At 37.0% G+C, this 12,255-nt stretch overlaps 1 protein-coding gene across 1 annotated transcript in view; it reads right to left on the reverse strand.

The window, feature by feature from the left end:
- The window catches only part of TMPRSS11D (transmembrane serine protease 11D), a 63,127-nt gene that overhangs the window by 24,756 nt on the left and 26,116 nt on the right, over positions 1-12,255 (reverse strand). Inside the window, exon 3 of the mRNA NM_004262.3 lies at positions 8,437-8,555. Coding sequence (NP_004253.1) covers positions 8,437-8,555 — 119 coding nt within the window. The remainder of the gene's footprint in view (positions 1-8,436; positions 8,556-12,255) is intronic.

The following is a 12,255-nucleotide window of genomic DNA, read 5'->3' on the forward strand; positions in this document are numbered from 1 at the left end:
TTTTATTTTGTAACCTGTACTGCTGACACTTTCATTACATTGGACAAAAACTGAGTAAACATTGAAAAAATGAGAACTATTTAATATTTCCCTTCTGATTGAGGTGACAATATTATTTTTTAAATCTAGAATAGTCTAGAATCCTTAATATCCATAATATTCATAATCAAAAGACTGAAGCAAGTTATGGCATGTGTAAGAAAATTCTAACAAAGTGAACATCACTAAATCTGTTAGTAGAACAGGTCACATAAAGGTTGAAACACTGCACACAGGATATCTATAATTGTCACATATTTTTCATGGCTGCAATAGAAAGGTCTTATTAGTTGCCTGTGAATATATCAGATTAATCACCTTCTTTAGTGCATTATTACTTGATAGTTATAGCTTTGCTCATATTATTAGAATAGAAGTAATAGAAGTAATGCTTTTGTCATTTTAATCACTCTTCTGTTACAACTTTCTCTTTCGTTTCACCAGAAGATCTGGAAAGCTCAGTTGTCAAGGAGGAGATAAAATATGTGGCAATATGATCTATCTATTACTATAATGGTCTCCAGACATTTCTGATTATGTGCTCCTATGGGTGAAACATTTTATGCATGAGTAGCCAAAACATGTATATTTACTTATAAATTATATACATGTAATAATACTACATTACTAACAATATCCATTATAATATATTTATGAAATTAGAAATTAAAAAGGCTGAGTTATAAAATAAACACAGGTTTTTTTTGTAATGATATTTTTAATATTATAATATAAGTGGATAGAATTTATAATTTTTGAACATTGTCATAAAATGGTTCAAAGGTCTGATTCTAAGTTTAATTTCAATACTTGGCTTTAAGCATTGAAAAAGTTTCCACATAATTACCTGGCCCCATGTGCATGAAGTTTACCATTGGCATAATTCATTAAATCATGACACTAAGTTGTCAGTCTCACTCATCATGCAAATTTTTGTTAAAATTCAGCAAGTGAATTTCCATTTTCCATGATGTCAATTGGTTATTCTTGCAAACCAATTGAAAGGTGTTGTGTTTTATATATTTTTAAAGAAATGTGTACAAAATCTATTAAACATTATAGTTAATCTTTTCTCCCAAATTTTTATGTGTGCATGTCAGAGAACTTTTACAGATAACATACTTTATATGATTTTCAGTAAAACAAAACAAAAGGAAACTCAATCACCTAATGATGGACACATTGCTAAACATATTTTCATAGTCTTCTCTCTATAGCATGAATTTTATCTAAAAAGTGATTTTTTTTTTTTTGAGACAGAGTCTCACTCTGTTGCCCAGGCTGGAGTGCAATGGGTGATCTTGGCTCACTGCAACCTCTGCCTCCCAGGTTCAAGTGATTCTCCTGCCTCTGCCTCTTGAGTAGCTGGGACTACAAGCATCCACCATCATCCCTGGCTAATTTTTGTATTTTTGTAGAGATGGGGTTTCGCCATGTTGGGCAGGCTGGTCTTGAACTCCTGACCTCAGATGATCCGCCCACGTCGGCCTCCCAAAGTGCTGGGATTACAGGCCTGAGCCACTGCATCCGGCCTTAAAAAGTGATTTTCTGATACATACACCTTGAAGGAAAATGTTGTGTGTGTGTATGTGTCTAGTATGTATTAAATATCTTCTAAGAAGTGTACCACTGACTGGCATTGCTTTACCTGTTAATATGGCTTTAATAGATAAGGAAATATGTCAGTTCTGTCATTATCTTACTGTTCATTACTGTGATTACATATTAGGGTTATTACAAAGTGCAAGTTTTAAAATTTGTTTTTGTTTTGCAGGATTCCTCTCAGTTCCCTTGTTGCTTTTGGGAGGCTTAGTTTTCTTTTAGAACTAGATAATATAATCTTTCAATCTAGTTGTAAACTGCTCATCACTGAAATCTGCTGAGAGGAGGTAAAGGTGTGCTGAAGCCTGGTCAGTCCCACTGTATTACTGTCTACCCTTCCCTCAGATCTCAGAATGTCTTCACACATTTCATGTTCCCCTAAGGCATAAGACCAAACAAGGATGCTAGTGTCAATCCTGTTTAATGATTTAACTATTTGTTAGAAAGTAACAAAGCTAAGTTTCTTTTTTTGTTTTCTGTGTCTTAAGAAAAGTAATTTAGAGAAAAAATACATGTAAAATGACCTTTGAGTATTTTATTTCAGCACTCCAATGAATTGTTGGTCCTCCCTGGGATGCATATCCTCATTTTGGAGATGACTGTGAACTCCACCGTGACTGTAATCATGTCCTTATTTTGTGTTTCTTAGACACTTGCATCATTTATTCACTCAGTCAACAAATATTTGAACACCAAGTATGTGCCAAATTCTCTTCTAGGCTTTCAGTAACAATCAATTCTTGTTAAATGGATGTGCCTGAAAGGAATTTTACCCGAAATCCCTGATGGTATAAGTTATGTGATAAGATTAATTTTAAATTAATATTGCTTTCTTTCTCCTCCCATGTTCTAGTTTGTTTATGGAAATGCCATTCAATATATTTTGGGAAAAAAGTATTTGTTGTTTGCAGACATTTGTTTCAATGTCACTCCTGATGGCAAAGGAGAGATTTAATGACTCAGTTTATCCCAGGTATTAATCCTGATTGAAGTCTTTTGTTTTATTTGGAGAAAACCATGTAAGTAGAATGCATTCATAGTTTTGATACATGTACTTTGTAAACAGGTACTTTCGTTATTTCTAAATGGCCTCATTCATTTACTTATTCAACAATTGTTTTTGAGCATCTCTTGTGTGCCACCACCTCCCGCCCTCCTTCTGTCAGGTATTGGAATACAACGATGGATAGAAAACAGTAATCTGGCCATCATGAAGCTTATGTCTAATGGATGGAAATAGACCTAATCAAATAATCATTCATAATTAAGTAAAATTATAACTGTGAAAAGTGCAGCAATACAGTAGAGGGACCTGAGCCAATTAATGATATTAGAGACATTTCTTAGAGGAAATGCTTATTGAGCTGAGATTGTCAGGAAGAATCAGACTTAGCTGATTGAAGTGGAAGGAAAAAGGCTCCTCAGCAGAATGAATGGCACATGCACAGTCCTGAGGTGGGAGGAAACAGGTTGTACTTAAGGAATGAAAGAAAGCCAGTGCAACTGTACCATGGAGAGCAAGTAGGCTAGGGTGACAGGAAATTCCCAATCATGCCGGTCTTCGAACTTGAAGCATTTGGTTTTATCATAAACAATGGGAAACCATGGAAGTGTTTGAAGCAAGAGGATAATATAGTGGGATTTGCAATTTGAGAACAATCTGTCTTGCTACATATAGATAATCAGTTTTGGAGAAAAAATAATGCAAATGAACAGATTAGGTTTGTTGCTATTTTGGTACCCTAGGGTAGAGGCGATGGCTTGGATAGTCATGCAGCAATGGATATGGAGAGAGGTGAATGGATTTGAAGGAAATACAGGGGATTAAGAATACAGTGGCTGCTGATGGATAGGATATTTGGAATGATAGTAGAATTTTAAGGATGAATTCTAGGTTTTTGATTTGGATAACTGAATAAATGGTATTGCTATTAATAGGGATAGGTATTGTTGGTGGAAAGCTAGGATGGTGTGGGGACATCATGAGTTTGATTTTGAGAGATAATATATTTGAGTTGTTTTGAAACAGCCATGTAAGGATATCAAGCTGGTAACTAGAGTACAAAAGAATGTCTAGGCTGGAAATATAGTGAATCATTGGCGTATAAATACAGGTTGAAGTAATGGGCATGTATGTATGGGATCATCTAGACAGAATGATAGTGTCAGAGGAGAGGTGGACATAAGTAAAGCTTTGAGGTGTTTCAATATTTAATGGCAGTGTAGAGGAGGGGGAGCCTGTAAAGAACACAGAGAAGTAATGACCAGTGAGGCAGGCTGGGAAAATGAGGTGAATGAGTGCCATGAGTATATCACATTAAAAATAACAAAATCATAGATTTTTTGTGTAAGAATGTACTATAGAAATTATCTAGTCCAACTATTTTATTTTACTCGTGAATAAACTGAGGACCAGAAATGACAAGTGAATTGCTAAATAAAATAAAAAATTCTGAGACTATTTCACTGCTCATTCAGTGTTAACACTTTGTCTATGGGATAGAGATAACAATAATACTCATATTATCATGAGAAATGGTATGATCCTTAGATTTTGAGTCAAGAGACCCTGGTTTGAATTCTCATTATACCACTTTCCAGCTCAATGGCCTTTGATGCGTTTCTTAATCTCACAATCTTTACTTACCAGTCTATACAAATGATTTATAATTTTTATGGCATTGTATTAGAGTACTATTCATGTATCATTTTAAATGTTCAAAGTGTTTTTACAAAGGGATACATATGTAAGATTAACTAGGGAACTCATACATCAGAAGAATTTCATGGAAATCTTGAAATACTAAATATATTGTCAAGCCACAGTACTCTAAATATCCTACTGCTGCAAGCAAAGATTACTTACAGAAAGAGATTAGAGTACAGAAAAAAAGACAAAGAAGGATTTAGTGTATGATAAAGGTGACATGACAAATACATCAACTGCACTATTTAACACACTTAGTGTTTAATAGTGTGTTAAATAGGTGTTTTAACTAGAAAGCATCATCTACAAACCAGAAGGTGGCCCCTCAGACACCAGATCTGCTGGTGCATTAATCTTTGACTTCTCCTGTGAGAAATAAATTTTTGTCGTGCATATGCCACCCAGTCTATGGTATTTTGTTGCAGCCGCTCAAACAGATGAAACCAGCAACTGACAATAAACTTTGTGTGGGAAAAAAAGGGTCCCGAGTTAGGAAGAGATAAAACTGCTGGGGGTGGGTGGGGGGAAGGAAGTCCAAGGGATGTTAAGGCTCCTGCAGAGGGAGGAAACACCCTGTCAAAAGCTGACACCCCAGGGAAGCGCAGCAGCAAGGGCTCGGTGCCAGCTCTGGTGGGGTGACAGCCCCAAAAGAGAAGGAGGGTTTATGTAGTAAAGGAGTGCACTTGGACAGGCAGAGCCCCAGGTCTGCATGGTCAGGATATGCCTCCAACGGGAGCTGTGCAGTGTCAGTGTGGGTGTGCACTTGCGTGTGTGCCTTCATTTGTCTTTAAATCCCAGTCAATCAATCTTATATTTAAATTCCTTTCTCCACAATGCCTGACATTTTTAGCATTCAGCCTTAAATAGCCCAAATCCCAAAGTTTCACCATTTTCTAGTACTTTACAACTTATAGATGACTGCACACACACTCATTTCATTATTTACAGCTCAGTAGATCTCACTGGACCCATGTGGCAGGTGAGGAAAAAGCCTGTGAGCCTTCGAGTGACTTGCCTGGAAGTGGAGGAAATCAAACCAGGCCTTTGACTACCTGCCCAGGGCTATTTCTGCTGCCCCAGAGCAAACCTTTGTACACAGACTGAGAACTTTGGAAATGTACCGAAGCGGGAGCTGGTGCTGTCCTGACATTGACTCACCTCCCTACTACTGTATGTGTCTGGGAGGATGCACTGGTTTTAATGGAGATCTATTGCAGCCATTCCGTTCCCTCTGCACATTCACTTAGATGGTGGGTCCAGAGTCACAGATTCAAGAGAAGTGGCATCAATAAATCTGCATTACTTAAACCAACAAGTGGTTCAGAAAATATACTCCCAAACAACTGGGGATCCAGATCTCTAGGCATAATAAATTTCACTCATCTCCCAATTTCGGACTGCACTCCTGTGTAAAGGCAGGCAATGGCTGAGAGACAGCTCTGCAGACAGATGCTAGAACAAAAATTATCAAAAGATTTTAACTCCCTGGAGCCACTGGTGCTTTGCTGTCCTCCACTGAGGGAGGCGCACCTCCTAGCCTCACCCGGACTATAAATCTGAAGCAGCGTGTCTGGGGAGCATGGCTGAGGAGCAGTTCGTTAGGGATTGTTCATCTTGTATCTTTATTGCTGGCTCCAGCTTAGATCTTCCTCTGAGGTGGTCTGGGCATCCATTCCTTTCCCCACTGAATCACTCTGCTGAGATGTCCACAGTGAACTTTTGTCTCCCTGAACAACCTGCTTTCATTTCGGTTTCCTCTTCTAGCCAATGGCACCATTATCTACCGAAGTTAGACATTTCTGTGTTAGTGTTAACCTGTCACTTCTCATCCTGTCTTCTAATCCATTGCCAAGTTCTGTGGATCCTACCTTAAGCCCATCCTTTCCTCTCTATTCCCTGGCAGCACTTCTGGCGCCTGGTGTATCTCTGGTTTGGCCCTTGTAGGGGCTGCTCTGCTGCACTCCCACCCACCTTGGGACTGAGGTTACACCATCAAGGAGGTGGGGCAACTCACACCTAATGGTGAAGGATGGATGCTAAGGGCCCACCTCTACCCCCTGGCTCTGACTCCCTTCAGTCTTCTGTGCCAACAGCACTGTAGTTTGACTATGCCTCTGCCCAATGCTGCTTCCTTCTCTTCCTGAAGGTGTTGGTTGAGAGCACCCCAGAGACACTCCCTGCATGCAAGTCTCAGAGTCTGCTTCCCTGGGAAACTAACCTGTGATACTTGGTGCCTGGATAGCCCTAGGAAGCAAACTCTAAAACGTAGTTAGAGTTGGAAACCGTCCTGCCGGTTTCCATAGAGGACCCTGTCATTGGTGGGAGATGAGCACTGAAAGCTTTGAGTGGGGCTCCGAGAAGAAAAGGGACCAGGCTGCACTGGCAGGCTTGTTAAAACACAGATTTCTAGGCCCCAATGTCAGAATTTTTGATTTAGTATGTCTTGGTGAGCCCAAGAATTTGCATTTCTAACAAGTTTCTAGGTTATGCTAGAGACCATACTTCGAAAACCACTGAGCTAATGTTCAGTGAGAACCATCACAGCTGGAGGACTGAATCATAAGCTTATTTAATACATTTTTTTCTCTAGAAGCAAGCATCATTGAAACCAAGTTATGAGGAGACTGCAGGATGAGCATAGAATAAAGCAAGCGAAGTTAGATATATCATTTAAATGTTTAATGAGATCAGAATGAACAGTTGAATCAGAATGATTTGGGAAGAGACTCTTGGACAGGAACCAGATGTAGGGTTAACACTGGGGGAAATAAGTTCATTATGTCAGAAGTGGGAGACTCCTGTTCCTTCAATAAACATTTATTAAGCATCAACCCGACCAAATGTTGTGGATATATAAAAATGGAATGGATATGGAGCTGTCTTCATGGAACTTAGTCTAACATGGCAAATTAAACAAGTCTGCAAATATTTATAATATAAAATACATACAGGTATGTGGCATGAGATCAACACAGATACAATTTTGTGGCGAGGTGATGTGGAAGGAGGATTAATTATATCCAATCATGGAGAGCAGAGGTAGTTTCTTATAAAAGATGGCTTTTCAGGTTGGCTATAAGAATAAGTGGGGCACACGATGGCTGAAATATGAGCCAAAGCATAGACATGAGAAGGTGCTTAGCTAACAAGTTTGAATTTTATTTTGTAGGCAAAAAGTCTTGAGCTGGAGGTAACATGAAGGAAACAGGCTGTGAGAGATTTGTGTTCAGAAGTGTGTAAATTAGATTAGAAGGAAAAGAGCCTGCACACAGTGAGAACAGTTAGAAGCTCATTGCAGTGGTTCAGAAAAGCACCAAGGGATTAAAAGCCTGGATTAAGGAATATTCCAGAAAATGTAGAAATGCTGATAAAATTTTATCTTGAGCTCACCAAAGCAACCCTGCCAGGTGACTCAGTTACATGCTAAAATTGTAGAACCATTGAATTACTTTATATTCTTAGGACTTTTTTTTGAAAAGGTAAGGGTAAGTGAGTGACACTGAGACTGGTCAAAACTAAAGGGCAGCCCCTAGTTTGTGGTGACACATGAATGTTAAGGGTCCACTCGTGAGGTTTCCTGGCAGGCACCCAGAGGCTCTCTTCAAGTTAGAGCTCAAACTTGCTTTGCATATTTCTGTTCAAACTTCTATGTCTATCATTGAACCAAAGTGTAATGTTGTCCAAACTATGTTACTGCTGATATGGTAAACCTGTTTTTTAACACCTCCTGCTTTGCGTCTTTAGTTGGATAAGGAAGAGGGAAGAAGGTAAAATGAAAAGAATTTAAAAAGACAATGTCAATGCTTAATTAAACAAATAAAAAACTTTTAGTATTTGAATTCATAAACAAATAAAATGCATATTTACTCGTGGCCTTTCTAACACTTTTTACTCATGACAAAGATGTGAATAAGAACCAGTATATGAGTAAACTAACTGGATAAAAGCAGAGAGAAACACATGTTTCACCATTCAAGGAAGGAAAATATGTAGAGCACTTAGCAACTGAAAATATATTACAAAACATTAGGTTTATTATCATATTCATTTTATAATGGAATAAAGAGCAAAGACAAATATTAACTTACCAGAGATTCAATTCTTCCACTCAAAGTCCTGTATTCCTGTGTAGCTGGTGAATTTAACTGACTATTATATTCAACATTTAGGAGTTGAAAACTGCTCCTATAAAAGTAAGATTTTTGATCTGAAAAAGAAATAAAAGGGAAGGTCAGTCTTACTTTACTAAGTTGTTGAACCTTTAATTTATTCAGGATTATGGGAGGTTATATTATAGAATTTCAAAAATTTGCTTTCCTTGAAAGAAAAAGTTCTATGCTTCAGTGTAATTATGATAAAATTATTATCTTTTCAATTTTTAAAAAGATTGGCAAAGCCAGAGTGGTGTAGATGTTTAAAAATCAGAGTGGTATTATTATTTGAGAAATTAAAAATTGTCAGAAATAGTATAATTTTTATTCTTGCTATATTTTAAGGGAGATTTGTGGTGTATTCATTCAGGAAATATTAATGTATGTTTGTAATATACTATTATTTATTTATCATTAAGAAAGAACCCAAAGTAATTATGAAATTTCAAAAATTATTTCAAATAATATTCTTTATTGAGGAGTTAGTAATTCACCATTAGTTTTTCTGGAGTAAGCTAGAAAGTAAGTCATCTGACAAGATATCTAATCTAGTAATCCAATGTAAATTATTTTCATCAAAAGGCACCTTGCAAAATAAAAAACTTGACAGACCAATAACAAGTAATAAGATTGAATCAGTAGTAAAATATCTCCTAATAAATAAATGTCCAGGACCAATGGCTTTATTGCTATTCTACCAAACCTTAAAAGAAGAACTAACATCAATTCTCCTCAAACTATTCAAAAACATCAAACAGGAGGGAGTTCTCCCCAACTCATTCTATGAAGCCAGTATTATTCTGAGAGAAAACCAGACAAGGACACAATAAAAAAAAATACTACAGGCCGGGTGCAGTGGCTCATGCCTGTAATCCCAGCACTTTGGGAGGCCAAGGTGGGTGGATCACGAGGTCCGGAGTTCGAGACCAACCTGGCCAACATGGTGAAACCCTGTCTCTACTAAATATACAAAAATTAGCCAGGTGTGGTGGCAGGCGCCTGTAATCTCAGCTACTTGGGAGGCTGAGGCAGGAGAATTGCTTGAACCCGGGAGGCAGAGGTTAAAGTGAGCCAAGATCATACCACTGTGTTCCAGCCTGGGTGACAGAGCAAGACTGTCTCAAAAAAAAAAAAAAAAAAAATAGGCCAATATTACTGATGAACACAGAGGCAAAAATACTCAACAAAATACTGTCAAACTGAATCCAACAGCATATCAAAAAGATAATATACCACAATCAACTGGGATTTATCCCAGAGATGCAAGAATGATTCAACATATGCAAATCAATAAACTTAATACATCACATGAACAGAATGAAGACAAAAACCATATGATCATCTCAATAGATGTTCAATAGATTCCATATCCCATCATAACAAGAACTCTCAACAAACTAGGCTTAGAAGGGACATACCTCAACAACATAAAGGCTGACCAACCCACAGCTAACATTTTACCAAATGGGGAAAAGCTGAAAGCCTTTCCTCTAAGAACTGGAACAAGACAAAGATGTCCACTTTCATCACTCCTATTCAACATAGTACTGGAAGTCCTAACCAGAGCAATCAGGTTAGAGAAATAAATAAAAATGCATTCAAATTGGAAAAGAAGTTACATATTCAAATTGTCCCTTTTGCAGATTATATAATTTTATACCCAAAAAAACCTAAAGACTCCACCAAAAAACTCTTAGATCTGATATATAATTTCAATAAAGTTGCAGGATACAAACTCAACATACAAAAATCTATAGCATTTCTATACACCAACAATGAAATAGCTGAGAAAAAAATCAAGAAGGTAATTCCATCTTCTACAAGGACAACTGCAAAACACTGATGAAAGAAATGGAAGAGGGCACAAACAAATGGAAAGACATTCCTTGCTCATGGATTGAAAGAACTGATACCATTTAAATACTATACTCTTCAAAGCAATCTATAGATTCAATGCAATCCCTATCAAAATACCAACATCACTTTTCACAGAAATAGAAAAAGCCATCCTAAAATTTGTATGAAACAAAGAGCCCAAATAGTCGAATCACACCTGAGCAGAAAGAGCAAATTTGAAGACATCACACCACCTGACATCAAACTATACTCCAAGGCTATAGTAGCCAAAACAGAATGGTATTGGTATAAAAACAGACACATAGACCAATGAAATAGAATAGAGAGCCCAGAAAGAAATTCACCTACAGCCAACTGAATTTCAACAAAAGTGTTAAGAACAAACAATGGGGAAAGCACACTCTTTTCAATAAATAGTACTAGGAAAATTGGATATCCATTTGCAGAAGAATGAAACTGGACCCTTATCTCTCACTATATACACAAATCAACCCAAGATGTATTAAAGACTTAAATGTAAGACTTAAAACTATGGGAACTATTAAAAGAAAACATAGGGGAAACACTTCATGTCTTTAGTCTAGGGAAATAATTTATCACTATGACCTGAAAAGTACAGACAACAAAACCAAAAATAGACAAATGGGAATTAATTAAACTAAAAAGCTTCTGCACAGCAAAGGAAACAAGCAACAGAATGGAAAGACAACCTATTGAATGGGAAAAAACATTTGCCAACTGTTCATCTGACAAGAGACTAATATCCAGAATATACAAGGACTCAAACAACTCAACACTAAAAAAAAATAAAAATTCCATTAAGGAGTGGGCAAAGAACATGAGCGAACAGTTCTCAAAATAAGACATACAAATCATCAACAGGTACATGAAAAAATGCTCAACATTGCTAATCATCAGAGAAACACAAATCAAACCCACAATGAGATATCATCTCACCTCAGTTAAGATTTCTATTACCAAAAAGACAGAAAATAACAGATGCTGGTGAGAGTGCAGAGAGAAGAGAATTCTTATACACTGTTGGTGGAAATGTAAACTAGTGCAGCCATTATGGAAAACGGTATTGAGATTTCTCATAAAACTAAAATAGAACTACTATATGATCCAGCAATCCCACTACTGGATATTTATCCAAAGGAAAAGAAATCACCATGTCAAAGAGATATTTGTACTTGGGTGTTTATCGCAGCACTGTTCACAATAGCCAAGATGTGGAATCAACCTATGTGTCCATCAACAAATGAACGGATAAAGAAAATATGGTATATATATATATATATATATATATATATATATATATATATATATATATATACACACACACACACACACACACACATACACAATGGAATACTATTTGGCCATAAAAAGAATGAAATCTTGTCATCTGCAGCAACATGGATGGAATTGGAGGTCATTGTGTTAAATGAAATAAGCCAAGCACAGAAAGACAAAATTAGCCAGGCATGGTGGCTCATGCCTGTAATCCCTGTAATCCCAGTACTTGGGGAGGCAGAGCTGGGAAGATCACTTGAAGCCAGGAATTTGAGACCGGCCTGGGCAACAAAGTGAGACCCCATCTCTACTACTAAAAAAAGAGTAAAGAAGAAAGACAAGTATGTTCTAACTCATATGTGGGAGCTTAAAAAGTTGATCTCATCAATGTAGAGAGTAGAATGACAGATACTAGAGACTGGGAAGGATGGAGGGGTGTGAGGGGGATTGAAGAGAGGTTGGCTAACAGATATAAACATATAGTTAGATAAATGGTATAAGTTTTATTGTTTAATAGCAGAGCAGAGTGAAGTTAACAACAATCTATTATGTATTTCAAAGTAGCTAGAAAAGAGGACTTGAGTTGTTCTAATACATAGAAAT

The sequence above is a fragment of the Homo sapiens genome, chromosome 4 (assembly GCF_000001405.40).
Source record: "Homo sapiens chromosome 4, GRCh38.p14 Primary Assembly".
In the NCBI taxonomy this organism is placed as follows: Eukaryota; Metazoa; Chordata; class Mammalia; order Primates; family Hominidae; genus Homo; species Homo sapiens.